Here is a 16,363-nt window from a genome sequence, read left to right on the forward strand (position 1 = left end):
TCCAGAGGAAGGAACAGGCAGCAATATTTGCTGTTCTGCAGCCTCTGCTGGTGATACCCAGGCAAACAGGGTCTGGAATGGACCTCCAGGAAACTCCAACAGACCTGCAGCTGAGGGACCTGACTGTTAGAAGGAAAACTAAGAAAGGAGTAGCATCAACATCAACAAAAAGGACATCCACAACAAAACTTAATCTGTAGGTAACCAACATCAAAGACCAAAGGTAGACAAAACCACAAAGATGGAGAGAAACCAGAGCAGAAAAGCCGAAAATTCTAAAAACCAGAGCACCTCTTCTCCTCCAACTGCTCACAGCTCCTTGCCAGCAATGGAACAAAGTTGGATGGAGAATGACTTTGACGAGTTCACAGAAGTAGGCTTCAGAAGGCTGGTAATAACAACTTCTCCGAGCTAAAGGAGGATGTTCTAACCCATCACAAGGAAGCTAAAAACCTTGAAAAAAGGTTAGACGAATGGCTAACTGGAATAAATAGTGTAGAGAAGATCTTAAATGACCTGATGGAGCTGAAAACCATGGCTAGAGAACTTCATAATGCATGCACAAGCTTCAATAGCCGATTCGATCAAGTGGAAGAAAGGATATCAGTGATTGAAGATCAAATTAATGACATAAAGTGAAAAGACAAGATTAGAGAAAAAAAGAGCAAAAAGAAATGAACAAAGCCTCCAAGAAATATGGGACTATGTGAAAAGACCAATCTATGTTTGATTGGTGTACCTGAAAGTGTCAGGGAGAATGGAACCAAGTTGGAAAACACTCTTTAGGATATTATCCAGGAGGACTTCCCCAACCTAGCAAGGCAAGCCAACATTCAAATTCAGGAAATACAGAGAACGCCACAAAGATGCTCCTCAAGAAGAGCAACCCCAAGACACATAACTGTCAGATTTATCAAGGTTGAAATGAAGGAAAAAATATTAAGGGCAGTCAGAGAGAAAGGTCAGTTACCCACAAAGGGAAGCCCATCAGACTAACAGCGGATCTCTCGGCAGAAACTCTACAAGCCAGAAGAGAGTGGGGGCTAATATTTGACATTCTTAAAGAAAATAATTTTCAACTCAGAATTTCATATCCAGCCAAACTAAGCTTCACAAGTGAAGGAGAAATAAAATCCTTTACAGACATGCAAATGCCGAGAGATTTTGTCACCACCAGGCCTGCCTTACAAGAGCTCCTCCTGAAGGAAGCACTAAACATGGAAAGGTACCAGCCATGGCAAAAACATGCCAAATTGTGAAGACCATCAATGCTATGAAGAAACTGCATCAATTAACGGGCAAGATAACCAGCTAACATAATGACAGGATCAAATTCACACATAACAATATTAACCTTAAATGTAAATGGGCTAAATGCCCCAATTAAAAGACAGACTGGTAAACTGGATAAAGAGTCAAGACCCATCAGTGTGCTGTATTCAGGAGACCCATCTCACCTGCAGAAACACACATAGGCTCAAAATAAAGGGATAGAGGAAGATCTACCAAGCAAACGAAAAGCCAAAAAAAAAAAAAAAAAAGCAGGGGTTGCAATCCAGGTCTCTGATAAAACAGACGTTAGACGAAGGAAGATCAAAACAGACAAGGAAGGACATTACATAATGGTAAAGGAATCAATGCAACAAGAAGAGCTAACTATCCTAAATATATATGCACTCAACACAGGAGCACGCAGACTCATAAAGCAAGTCCTTAGAGACATACAAAGAGACTTAGACTCCCACACAATAATAATGGGAGACTTAAACACCCCACTGTCAATAATAGACAGATCAACATGACAGAAGGCTAACAAGGATATCCAGGAATTGAACTCAGCTCTGGACCAAGTGGACCTAATAGACATCTACAGAACTCTCCACCCCAAATCAACAGAATATACATTCTTCTCAGCACGACATCACACTTATTCTAAAATTGACCACATAATTCGAAGTAAAGCACTCCTCAGCAAATGTAAAAGAACAGAAATCACAAACTGTCTCTCAGAGCACAGTGCAATCAAACTAGAACTCAGGATTAACAAACTCATTCAAGACTGCACAACTACATGGAAACTGAACAACCTGCTCCTGAATGACTATTGGGTAAATAACGAAATGAAGGCAGAAATAAAGATGTTCTTTGAAACCAATGAGAACAAAGACACAACATACCAGAATCTCTGGGACACATTTAAAGCAGTGTGTAGAGGGAAATTTATAGCACTAAATGCCCACAAGAGAAAGCAGAAAGATCTAAAATCGACACCCTAACAGCACAATTAAAAGAACTAGAGAAGCAAGAGCAAACACATTCAAAAGCTAGCAGAAGGCAAGAAATAACTAAGATCAGAGCAGAACTGAAGGAAATAGAGACACAAAAAACCCTTCAAAAAATCAATGAATCCAGGAGCTGGTTTTTTGAACACAGCAACAAAATGGCTACACTGCTAGCAAGACTAATAAAGAAGAAGAGAGAGAAGAATCAAACAGACACAATAAGAAGTGATAAAGGGGGTATCACCACCAATCCTACAGAAATACAAACTACCATCAGAGAATACTATAAACACCTCTATGCAAATAAACTAGAAAATCCAGAAGAAACGAATAAATTGGACTAAACCAGGAAGAAGTTGAATCTCTGAACACACCAATAATAGGCTCTGAAATTGAGGCAATAATTAATAGCCTACCAACCAAAAAAAGTCCAGGAACAGACGGATTCACAGCCGAATTCTACCAGAGGTACAAAAAGGAGCTGGTACCATTCCTCTGAATGGCTGATACCATTCCTTCTGAAACTATTCCAATCAATAGAAAAAGAGGGAATCCTCCCTAACTCATTTTATGAGGACAGCATCATCCTGATACCAAAGCCTGGCAGAGACACAACAAAAAAAGAGAATTTTAGACCAATATCCTTGATGAACATTGATGCAAAAATCCTCAATAAAATACCAGAAAACCAAATGCAGCAGCATATCAAAAAGCTTATCCACCACGATCAAGTCGGCTTCATCCCTGGGATGCAAGGCTGGCTCAACATATGCAAATCAATAAACGCAATCCATCACATAAAAAGAACCAACGGCAAAAACCACATGATTATCTCAATAGATGCAGAAAAGGCCTTCGACAAAATTCAACAGCCCTTCATGCTAGAAACTCTCAATAAACTAGGTATTGATGGAACGTATCTCAAAATAATAAGAGCTATTTATGACAAACCCACAGCCAATATCATACTGAATGGGCAAAAACTGGAAGCATTCCCTTTGAAAACCGACACAAGAGAAGGATGCCGTCTCTCACCACTCCTATTCAATGTAGTGTTGGAAGTTCTAGCCAGGGCAATCAGGCAAGAGAAAGAAATAACAGTATTCAATTAGGAAAAGAGGAAGTCAAACTGTCCCTGTTTGCAGATGACATGATTGTATATTTAGAAAACCACATCGTCTCAGCCCAAAATCTCCTTAAGCTGATAAGCAACTTCAGCAAAGTCTCAGGATACAAAATCAATGGGCAAAAATCACAAGCATTCTTATACACCAATAACAGACAAACAGAGAGCCAAATCATGAGTGAACTCCCATTCACAATTGCTTCAAAGAGAATAAAATACCTAGGAATCCAACTTACAAGGGATGTGAAGGACCTCTTCAAGGAGAACTACAAACCACTGCTCAACCAAATAAAAGAGGACACAAACAAATGGAAGAACATTCTATGCTCATGGATAGGAAGAATCAATATCGTGAAAATGGCCATACTGCCCAAGGTAATTTACAGATTCAATGCCATCCCCATCAAGCAACCAATGACTTTCTTCACAGAATTGGAAAAAACTACTTTAAAGTTCATATGGAACCAAAAAAGTGCCCTCATTGCCAAGACAATCCTAAGCAAAAAGAACAAAGCTGGCAGCATCATGCTACCTGACTTCAAACTATACTACAAGGCTACAGTAACCAAAACAGCATGGTACTGGTACCAAGAGATATAGACCAATGGAACAGAATAGAGCCCTCAGAAGTAACACCACACATCTATAACCATCTGATCTTTGACAAACCTGACAACAAGAAATAGGGAAAGGATTCCCTATTTGATAAATGGTGCTGGGAAAACTGGCTAGCCATATGTAGAAAGCTGAAACTGGATCCCTTCCTTACACCTTATACAAAAATTAATTCAGGATGGATTAAAAACTTAAATGTAAGACCTAAAGCCATAAAAACCCTAGAAGAAAACCTAGGCAGTACCATTCAAGACATAGGCATGTGTAAAGACTTCATGACTAAAACACCAAATGCAATGGCAACAAAAGCCAAAACAGACAAATGGGATCTAATTAAACTAAAGAGCTTCTGCACAGCAAAAGAAACTACCATCAGAGTGAACAGGCAACCTACAGAATGGGAGAGAATTTTTGCAATCTACTCATCTGACAAAGGGCTAATATCCAGAATCTACAATGAATTCAAACAAATTTACAAGAAAAAACAAACAACCCCATCAAAATTGGGCAAAGGATATGAACAGACACTTCTCAAAAGAAGACAATTATGCAACCAACAGACATGAAAAAATGCTCATCGTCACTGGTCATTAGAGAAATGCAAATCAAAACCACAGTGAGATACCATCTCACGCCAGTTAGAATGGCGATCATTAAGAAGTCAAGAAACAACAAGTGCTGGAGAGGATGTGGAGAAATAGGAATGCTTTTACACTGTTGGTGGGAGTGTAAATTAGTTCAATCATTGTGGAAGACAGTGTGGTGATTCCTCCAGGATCTATAACTAGAAATACATTTGACCCAGCCATCCCATTACTGGGTATATACCCAATGGATTATAAATCATGCTACTATAAAGACACATGGATACATATGTTTATTGCAGTACTATTCACAATAGCAAAGACTTGCAACCAACCCAAATGTCCATCCGTGATAGACTGGATTAAGAAAATGTGGCACAGATACACCATGGAATACTATGCAGCCATAAAAAAGGAGGAGTTCATGTCCTTTGCAGGGACACAAATGAAGCTGGAAACCATCATTCTCAGCAAACCATCCCAAGGACAGAAAACTAAACACCGCATGTTCTCACTCATAGGTGGGAATTGAACAATGAGAACACTTGGACACAGGGCAGCGAACATCACACACCAGGGCTTGTCGGGAAGTCAGGGGGCTGGGGGAGGGATAGCATTAGGAGAAACACCTAATGTAAATGACGAGTTGATGGGTGCAGCAAACCAACATGGCACATGTATACCTATGTAACAAACCCGCACGTTGTGCACATGTACCCTGGAACTTAAAAGTATAATAATAATAAAACAAAAAAAAACAATTTAGTACTCAAAAAAATTATGGTATCATACACAGGAGGATATGTGCTATGAGAACAATGGACTGGGGATCAGACAGGATGAACAGACAAGATCACCATGTATAAGCAGGACAATGTTCAATACACAAGGTAAATAATAAAGCCTCAAAATAACTCTGTACCATATATAACAAAAAAGGATAATCAGCATGAAGAAAAAGAAATACTACTATAACATTTTTAGAAAGCTGGAGTAATTTCTAAAACCACACAGAAATCTCATTTATGTTCAGTTGGCATTTCATTTCAAAAACAGATTAAGGGCCAGGTGTCGTGGCTCACATCTGTAATCTCAGCACTTTGGGAGGCTTAGACTGGAGAATCACTTGAGGCCAGGCGTTGAAGACCCGCTTGGATGACATACCTTGACTTTATTAAAAATAAAAATTGAAAAATTAGTTCAGTATGGTGGTGCACATCTATAGTCCCAGCTACTTGGGAGGCTGAGATGAGAGAATTGCTTGACCCAAGGAGTTGGAGGTTGCAGTGAGTTATGATCACGCCACTGCACTCCAGCCTGGGTGGCAGAACAAGACCCTGTCTCTAAAAACTAATAATTTAAAATAAGAATAATTTTTTAAATAGATTTAAAAACAATAAATAGCTAATAACATACAAAATCTGCACAACGCAGTTAGGGGCTCAAGTGCCTCACCTGTAATTCAATTACAACGATCCTCTTTCAGACTGCTCAGAGTGTTGCATAAAAGATTTTTCAGTTTAAATAACTAAAAAAAATTACTCAACAAATAATCATTCTTTATAAATGAAGTTGTTTTTGAGATAGTCTCAATTTTTTAATATTGATTGAGATAATACTCTCTTCAAGAAATTGCCAATGTATTTTATGAAAACTAAGAAGTCAACAAAAATTTAACTAATAAGAAACTTGTGGTGGCTTCTAAAGCACTTAGACCTGATTTCTCAAACACTTTCGGCCCCCTAACTTTGGACTCTTTCATCCTTATAAATTTGAGAATTTGGCATAAGTATAAATAGTCCAGACAGTTGTAATATTATTGGGAATGGCGTATGAAACAGATCATATTTTCTAAAGGTCCGTTCCTATGCTGAAAGTTTACAATTTTAAGTGTAAGAATTCTTTTTTTTTTTTTTTTTTTCTTGAGATGGAGTCTCACTCTGTTGCCCAGGCTGGAGTGCAGTGGTGCAATCTCGGCTCACTGCAACCTCCGCCTTTCAGATTCAAGTGATTCTCCTGCCTCAGCCTCTGGAGTAGCTGAGACTACAGGCGTGCGCCACAATGCCCAGCTAATTTTTGTATTTTTAGTAGAGACGGGGTTTCACCATGTTGGCCAGGATGGTCTCAATCTCTTGACCTCGTGATCCACCCGCCTCAGCCTCCCAAAGTGCTGGGATTACAGGTGTGAGCCACTGTGCCTGGCCAAGTCTAAGAACTCTTTTATATGGCTACTTTGATTTTGAATACTCTAACTGAAACGAGTTGCTTCGCAGTAGCTACAAATCCATGTTCTAAATCTTAGCCCTTTCTGTCTCTAGTAGAGACCTCTAAAACTCCATTAACATCTTACTAATTTACTGTATCTATACAACTCTAACTAAACCTTGCTTTTCCTAATAGAATAAAAGTTATCTACAAACAGAAAATACCTGAAAACCATTATACATCCCAACCTTTATTTGAAGAACTCAGTTGAAGGAACTGAGAACATAAGGATTGAATATAAAACCAATCTAATAATTTCAGGATTTGAAATATTGGTAGAAGTCATATAAAAGACTTAAAGGTGTGTAAAGATGGCAGGGGGAAAAAAAAATCAATGTGTGCCTATATTTTACATGACAGAAGGAATGAGTTAATTAGTTATATAGTTTACATGAGTTATAATGTCCTGTCCAGAGTATCCAGAGAAGAAAACTGGCTGGAAAACCCTTTCTATCATAATTTTAGGTCAAAATCCATCTGAAAAAGACTCACAGAAACACTACATTATAAAACAGTGCCCAGGGCCAGGCACGGTGGCTCACGTCTGTAATCCCAGCACTTTGGGAGGATGAGACAGCCAGATCACCTGAGGTCGGGAGTTCGAGACCAGCCCAGGCAACATGGCAAAACGCCATCTCTACTAAAATATAAAAATTAGCTGGGTGTGGTGGCGCATGCCTGTAATGCCAGCTACTCGGGAGGCAGAGGCAGGAGAATCGCTTGAAGCCAGGAGGCAGAGATTGCAGTGAGCCAAGATCACGCCACTGCACTCCACCCTGGGCAACAGATTGAGGCTCTGTCTCAAAAATTAAAAAAAAAAAAAGTGCTTAGAATTAGACAAGAAACAAAAGAAAACCCTGTAGAGCAATTAAATTAAATGAGGACAACACGACTTTATGCTCACTGAAGAGTGAAAGAAGTATGTCAGAACTTAGTGAGCACCTATCAACTACTAAGTGTTGAATACTCTGCAGCATGCTTTATAGAAGCCATCACATTTAATCTTCACAATAATCTCACCAGGCAGATATCAGCACTTCCATTTCACAAACAAACAAAGCTTCAGGGATCAAGAATTTTGACTAATGTTGTATAGCTCTGGTGCTGGGATTTGAACCTGCCTACACAAACTAGGTTCTTTCCCCTGTATCTTAATACCATTCTAAATTTAATTGCAAAATTCAAATACAAAGAAAACAGTTTCAGTAGTTGACCCTTGAATATGATATAATATATTATATCTAGTAATACTTATCAACCAATAAAAACTATACATTCCATTTAACCTTTATCTTAGAGCCCTATAATTTGTCCTGGGGTTAACTTGTTCTATTTCCTATATTCCTTTCCCTTTCATTTATCAGAAATAACACATTGGGAATAACTTATATTTTTAATTTATACCTGTATCAAGATATCACAAGTAAAATTAAAAGTGTGCCTGCAGAAGAACCATGTTCCATATCTATTATTCTTCTACAACAATGATTTTTTGGTTTCACATTTCATCACAGACTTGCTTAACCATCTTTGTTCAAAAAGATCTAATATTTGCTAGATTAAAACTAAATGATGGGAATACAGTACTAGGAGAAAGTATTTCTTAAAAATCCTTCTGCCATATCCCTAAGCTCAGACTAACCATAGGGATATCCCAGTTCTGCACAACACTAACATGTCTCTATTTTAACTATTATAAATGGCATTGTTTTTTATAAGATATTTTTCATAGTGATGCATTCATTCAAAAACATCTACTATGCATCTAAGTGCAAAACACTGTACTACACTTTGGACATAAAGTGGTAAAATAAACACTATTCTTGCTTTCACTGAATTTTTAGGCATGTAGGGGAGACAGACTATAAGAAAGTAAATAAACAACTACAGAATAGGAAGTGCTATGAAGGAAATGACTGTGATACTGCGATCAAAAATCTGGGGAACGACCTGCTTAGATTGGTCAGGAACTGCCTTCCTAAAAAGTTACTTAATTAAGCAGTAACATGAATAAGAAATAGCCCTGTAAAAAGCCTAAGGAAGAACATTTCAGGCAAAACAAATACCATGTAGAAAAGCCTGCTGAAAGAGTTGGTTGCATTTAAGGAACGCAAAGAGAATCACTGTGGTTCAAGTACAGTGAGCTAAACAGGAGTGAAATCATGGAGGTCTCACAGGCCAAGGTAGAACTTGAATTATATTTAAAATGTAACAACGAGGCACTGAAAAGTTTTATATACAAGGCTTAAACACAAAGTAACAAGAGCAGATTCTTTTTTTTTTTTTTTTTTAAGATCACTTTGCTGAGGAAAGAAGAGATTGGAGGGAAACAACATAGGAATCAGGGAGACCAGTGAAGAGATTACTGCAGTACTCTAGGCAAAAGGTAACAACATTAAGGTGGTTTTGGTTGAGTTAGAAGTTCAGATTCCGAACATATTCTGAAGGTAGAATTTACAGAACTTACTAATAAATTCCAAGTTCACAAAGAGAGAGAGAGAGAAATAAAAAATAACCTAATTATTTCTAATTTAAACAACTGAGACAATAAGGTTTCTATTGATTAAGATGAGGAAAAACTGGGGGAAAGGTTTGAGGAAGAAAATCTGAAGCTGTATTTTGACATGTTAATATGTGAGATTCTGTGGTACTTCTAAGTGATGATGTTAAACAGGCAGATGGACATTCAAATCTGGAGGTTCAAAAAAGGTCTGATCTAAAGATAACCCTTCAAGATACAACATGATTACAGGGAATCAAATGATGATATTATTCATAAATTCAGGACACTATGGAAAGAACTGGTTTTCTAGCCAAGCAACCAAATCATAAATATAATGCAAGAAAATGGCTGGAATCAGAAAGATCTGGAAGTCTAGAAACCCAGAAGCCCCTGAATTCTAATACAGGGTTGTTAAATAGATGATCTGAATTGGTCTCATCAAAGGCACATCAGAGACCCCAACAAGAAGCTAAACAAGAAAAAAAGCAGGTCTTTCAACCTAAAACCAACTTCCAATAAAATGATATAAAACAGAAAAAAAGAAGAAGAGAGGAGCTTTCTGGAGAGCTCTATATCGGAATATGAAGGCCTAAATAAATATTACAATTCATATAATTTAAATCAAAAAGAAGAATTACTATAGTATTCTATAACTACATTTACATAATACATAATATGTAGGTGTGTATATATTTTTACATATGTGTGTGGGTGTGGGTGTGACGGCATGTGTATAATTATACTGATAGCTCCTTAGGGAATAGAGTTTATTTATTACTGTATTACACACCTACAACAATGCATGACACAGTGAGCGTTAACTAAACATTTGCCGAATACATGAATAAGTGAACAAAATGTACACGTCAAGAAAATGAACCAATAAAGAAATACAAAAATAACTTAATGTATAACAATATCTAACAAGACTGACTCAAGATTTTTTTTTGGTTATAGATACAGAGAAAGAAAAGACATGGCTCTGGATCAAGATATATTCCAACAGCTTATCCCACTGGAAATGACCTGGTTACATAACACAGTAAACGATGGGAATTACCAGATTACTGATTTATCTTTTGTTAATAAGTACTTAGTCTAAAATTGAAGTAATCAAGCAAATCAAAAGCTCCACATGTAACATAAAAGCAATGGCAATTAAATATAACAGAAAATACTTTTCCTCATACAGTTAAGTAATAGAACCATAACACTTCATCTTAAAAAAGAGATTGTACTTCCTCTTAAAAGACAGCATATTTGTGGGAAAACAAGAGAGCTTTAGAAAATACACAGAAACGTGTGTGTCTAGAAATAGAGTATTATATACATCTGGAAATATATATATTTCTTTATTTATACATATATATATATATATATATATATATGAGCATATATAGCATCTGGAAATATAAAATATCATACCTGCAAGCAAAGTACAATGGAGTTGCTCCTGATACATTTGGCCTGTTAATATCAGCACCACTGTCTAGCAAGCACTGCACTGTCTGAGGGGGAAAAAATAATTAAAAGTAAAGCCAGAGGAATCAAACAAAAGATACAATTACCACAATTTTAATCCATATAAGGGAAGTTCTTCCCACAACTTGAAGCTTTACATAGGAACTGAGTGGGCACGTGACAATTACTATGGCTGAGCAAATTCAACTTTTTGTAAGCTCTAAGTGTCTCAGGCACAACACACATATATGTGGAATTATCAGTGTAATAGAAACTGTGTTAATCTGGGAGTCTTTAGAGCAGCACTGTATCAAAAGTAGTCAGTAGTTACATATTGGCTACCAAGTACTTGAAATGTGGCTAGTACAGCTAAGGAACTAAAATTTTAATTGTATTTAATTATAGCTCATTTGAATCTAAATAGCCACATGTGGCTAGTGAATTGGACCCTATTGCTTTAGATACTTGAATTTAAATTGCTTTAAATACCAGAATTTTTCACCTCTAAAAAACTAAGCACCAGAATAATAACTTTCCCAAAGTCAAGAGCATAATTATTAAAATATAAAATTTTAAAAAGCTAAGAAGCCCTTTTGCTATTAACAGTAGCATATACAGGCTCAATTTCACTGATTGCCATTAATATATACTTAGCCCCCTAAGCTCTACTCCTCTAATCATTTGACTCATACTAAGAGAGAGTACGCTACTATAAAATCTTAAAAATACATATCTGTTGATTAAGGACAGGACAGGGCCCAGTTGAAAACCTTTAAAAAAAAAAACTTTCATGGTTTTATTCCTAAAATCCTCATTTGAGTTTTTCCTGCAAAAAGGAAGAAAATGTAAAAACATAAAACATGAGGCAATAGGTGGCTTGAGGCCAGTAGTTTGAGACCAGTTTAGTCTACATAGTGAGACCCCATTTTTACAAAAACATTAAAAAATGAGCTAGTCATGGCAGCACATCATAGTAGTAGGCCTAGCTACTCAGGAGGCTGAGGTGGGAGGATCATTTGAGCCCAGGAGTTCAAGGCTACTATGAATTATATTACACCACTGCACTCCAGCTTGGGCAACAGAGAAAGACCCCATGCCTTAAAAAAAAACAAAATAGTTTGAAATTAGACGCTTATTACTTCTGGATTGAACACATCTGTTCATCTTTTTTGCCGCTTTTAAACAAAGTACAATGTCAGTAAAATAATAAAACTAAACACCCAAAGGAAGAACAAGAAAGAAAACAACAGCATACTGGATAAGTCAGTAAGTTTTGGAAAGATAGCAAGCAAATGGAGAAATAGTAACTGACTTAGCAGATCAAAGAAAGCTGAAGTCTAACTGCCCACAAATGGGGATTCCAACAATAAGCAACTCAATTCTTACTACAGAACACACACATTAAGAAAACAAAAAAGGAATAGAGGAATTGGAAGTACCAGGTACCTTGGAATATAGGAATGGTTATGTAGAGCTAAAAATAGGAGGAATAGTTGAAAGTCAATAGAAGAAACAGACTCTCCCCCTAGGACCTTTCTTCCCATCCTATCCAGTTAGTTACTATCCCTCTTTACACTGTCTCAGAAGATGGGAAGTTTATTCTCTGCACAAAGTGAACAGGGAGGCTCTGGACTGGGAGACAAGACACACAGGTAGAGCAAAGATGAGGAGCCATCGTGAAAACAACAAATTAAGTGAAAACCTCCAGCCTCCATGTTCCAACTAGGCTCCCAGAAATCCAGCAGGCAGGCTTAAAAATCTCAAGTAGAAGGAATTAAAAGCTTCCTCTCAAGACTTGCATCAGAAAAGAATCTTACAGATATTGGCATTAGAAAGTCCCCAGTGAAACAGCTCAGTTCATCCAGACATGGTGGCTCATGCCTGTAATTCTAAGACTTTGGAAAACCAAGGTGGAAAGATCATTTAAGGCCAGGAGTTCAAGACCAGCCTAGGCAATTTAGAGAGATCCCATTTCCACAACAAAATTTTAAAATTAGCCATGCATGGTGCTGCATGCAAGACGCTATCTGTAAAGCAAGACCCTATCTCTAAAAAGAAACAAAAATTAAAAATAAAGAAACAGCCCAATTCGGGACAATGGGTCTATAGCAGTCATCCCCAACCAAGGTTAAATTTTCCCCTGGGAACATGAGGCAACTTTTTTATTTTCATGACCAGGGAAGGGAAAATGCTATTGGCAGCTAGTGGGTAGAGGTCAGGGATGCAGCTAAATATCCTAAAATTCAGATGACAGCCCCCACAACAAAGAATTATCAGATCCAAAATATCAACAGTGTTGAGACCAAGAAACATTGGTGTACAGTCAAACCAAGTAGTCAACAAACTCAACTCATGTACACAACGCTTCCAGCCAACATTTGAGTGCCTCACCATTACACATGAATGAACAGACAATATTAAAAATACAACTGAAGCAGGCCTCTAACCTGAAAAACAAAAATTACAACTGAAAAATGAAACTCAGAATAACAAAGACAGTAAAGGGAACCAAAGAAAACAACAAAAATTAGAAAAGTAACTGATAACCTCGAACAGAAAAGAAATTATACCATGGAATGATAAAAGGATGTTGGGTAGAAAATATTTAGGAAATGAGAAATCAAAAATACAATGCAATAAATAAAAATTCAACAGAAGTTTAAAAAGAAAATGTTCAGGAATTCTACAAAGTAGAATAAAAAGACAAAGTAGAAAATAGGAAAGATGAGAAAATTTGTGAATCAATCAAGGGAGACATACTGCAGAAAATAAGAATAAAGAAAAGAAAGGGGGTGAGGGACCAAAGGGGAATAACCAAGAAATAATACCAAAAAAGTTCCCAGAACTGAAAGACATCAGGTGCCAGGTTTAAAAGGCTCAACACGTGTCTAGTCTATTAAATCAAAAGACCTTCAACGAGGCATGTCAAAGTGAAATTTCATGATAACATCAGGGATAAGAGATTCCAGAGATAAACAGAAATCATGTGGGCATTAAAACTTCTCAACAGCAACACAGAAATCTAAAAGGTAAAAAGCCTTCAAAATTGTAAGATAAATTATATGCAGAATTCTATAGCCAACTACACTATTATTCAAATAGATGGTTATAAATAAAAAACATGTTTAACTATTTTATAAGATTTTTTAAATTATCTTCAATGCACCTTTTCTCAAGAAGCTACTGAAGCATATCCTCCTCCAAAGAAAGAGAATAAACCATAATAGAAGATATGGAATCTAGAATATGGAGATCAAACATGGGAGAGACACTAAGATTATTTCTAGGTTTAGAGGGTGATATGGGTTGGATTTGTGTCCCTGCCAAAATCTCCTGTTGAATTGGAGGAGGGACCTGGTGAGAGGTGACCAGAGCATGGGAGCAGATTTCCCCCTTGCTGCTCTCATGAGAGCTCATGGTTTAAAAGTGTGTGGCACATCCCCCCTCACGCTCTTTCTCCCTCTCTCCTGCCACCATCTGAAGAAGATGCTTGCTTCCCCCTTTGCCTTCCACCATGATTGTAAGTTTCCTGAGGCCTCACAGTCATGCTTCCTGTTAAGCCAGCAGAACTCTGAGTCAATTAAACATCTTTTCTTCACAAATTACTCAGTCTCAAGTAGTTCTTTATATCAGTGTGAAAAATTGACTAATATAGAAAATCAGTACCAGGAGTGGGACACTCCTATAAAGACACTTGAAAATGTGGAAGCGACTTTGGAACTGGGTAAGGGGCAGAGGTTGGAACAGTTTGGAGGGCTCTGAAGAAGACAGTAAGATGTGGGAAAGTTTGGAACTTCCCAGAGACTTGTTGAATGGTTTTGATCAAACTGCTGATAGTGATATGGACAATGACGTCCAGGCTGAGGTGATCTCAGATGGAGATGAGGAACTTATTGGCAACTGGAGTAAAGATCACTCTTGCTATGCTTTAGCAAAAAGAAACTGGAAGCATTTTGCCCCTGCCCTAGAGATCTGTGAAACTTTAAACTTGAAAGAGATGAATTAGGGTATCTGGTGGAAGAAATTTTTTTTTTTTTTTGACACAAAGTCTCACTCTGTCTCCTAGGCTGGAGTGTAATGGCATGATCTCAACTCACTGCAACCTCCACCTCCCAGGTTCCAGTGATTCTCCCGCCTCCCAGGTAGCTGGGATTATAGGCGTGCGCCACCACACCCAGCTAATTTTTTCTGTTTTTAGTAGAGATGGGGTCTCACCCTGTTGGCCAGGCTGGTCCTTAAGTCCTGATCTCAAGTGATCCACCCACCTTGGCCTCCTAAAGTGCTGGGATTACAGGCCTGACCCAGCACACCCAGACTATGGTGGAAGAAATTTCTAACCAGCAAAGCATTCAAGATGTGACCTGGCTTATTCTGAAAGCATTCACTTACATGCATTCACAAAGAGATGGTTTGAAATTGGAATATGTTTAAAAGGGAAACAGAGGGCCAGGCACAGTGGCTCACGCCTGTAATCCCAGCACTTTGGGAGGCTGAGGCGGGCAGATCACCTGAGGTCAGGAGTTTGAGACCAGCTTGGCCAATATGGTGAATCCCCATCTCTACTATAAATATAAAAATTAGCCAGGCGTGGTGGCAGGGACCTGTAATTCCAGCTACTCGGGGGGCTGAGGCAGGAGAATTGCTTGAACCCAGGAGGCGGAGATTGCAGTGAGCCGAGATCACTGCATTGCACTCCAGCCTGGGCGACAAGAGCAAAACTACAACTCAAAAAAAAAAAAAGAGGAAACAGAACACAAAGTTTGGAAAATGTGCAGCCTGACCATGCAGTAGAAAACAAAAACCCATTTTCTGGGGAGAAATTCAAGCCAGCTGCAGAAGTGTACATAAGTAACAAGGAGCTGAATGTTAATAACCAAGACAACAGGAAAAATGTCTCCAGGGCATGTCAGAGACCTTCACTGCAGCCCCACATGTCAGAGGCCTGGAGGCCTAGGAGGGGAAAATGGCTTCACAGGCCGGACCCAGGGCCCCACTGCTCTGTGCAGCTTCGGGACTTAGTGCTCTGTGTCCCAGATGCTCCAGCTCCAGCTCCAGCCATGGCTAAAAGGGGCAAAGGTACAGCTCAGGCCACTGCTTTAGAGGGTGCAAGCCCAAGCCTTGAAGCTTCCACGTGGTGTTGGGCCTGCAGGTGTGCAGAAGGCAAGAGATGAGGTTTTGAAACCTCTGCCTAGATTTCAGAGAATGTATGGAAATGCCTGGCTGTCCAGGAAGAAGTCTGCTGCAGGAGTAGAGCCTTCATGGAGAACCTCTACTAGGGCAGTGCAGACAGGAAATGTGGAGTTAGAACCCCATACAGGGCACTGTCTAGTAGAGCTGTGAGAAGAGGGCCACCACCCCCCAGACCCAACAATAGGAGACCCACTGACAGCTTGCATAGTGCACCTGAAAAAGCCACACGTACTCAATGTCAGCCTGTGGAAGCAGTCTAGGGGGCTGTACCCTGCTGAGCCACAGGGGTGGAGCTACCCAAGGCCTCAGGATCCCAACCCATGCATCAGTGTGCCCT

The 16,363-nt window shown here is 38.6% G+C and overlaps 1 protein-coding gene across 18 annotated transcripts in view; it reads right to left on the bottom strand.

The window, feature by feature from the left end:
- Positions 1-16,363, bottom strand: part of HACE1 (HECT domain and ankyrin repeat containing E3 ubiquitin protein ligase 1) — a 131,826-nt gene that overhangs the window by 72,417 nt on the left and 43,046 nt on the right. For 11 of the 18 annotated variants that reach the window (NR_146789.2, NR_146790.2, NR_146791.2 and 8 more), the window contains one exon: positions 10,801-10,883. The exons of the other annotated variants lie outside the window; for them this stretch is intronic. Coding sequence is in view for 5 of the 11 variants with exons in the window: in NM_001350556.2 (NP_001337485.1) it covers positions 10,801-10,883 (83 nt within the window). In the remaining 6 variants the exon portion in view is untranslated. The remainder of the gene's footprint in view (positions 1-10,800; positions 10,884-16,363) is intronic. 18 annotated transcript variants of the gene reach the window in all.

The sequence above is a fragment of the Homo sapiens genome, chromosome 6, assembly GCF_000001405.40.
Source record: "Homo sapiens chromosome 6, GRCh38.p14 Primary Assembly".
Lineage (NCBI taxonomy): Eukaryota > Metazoa > Chordata > Mammalia > Primates > Hominidae > Homo > Homo sapiens.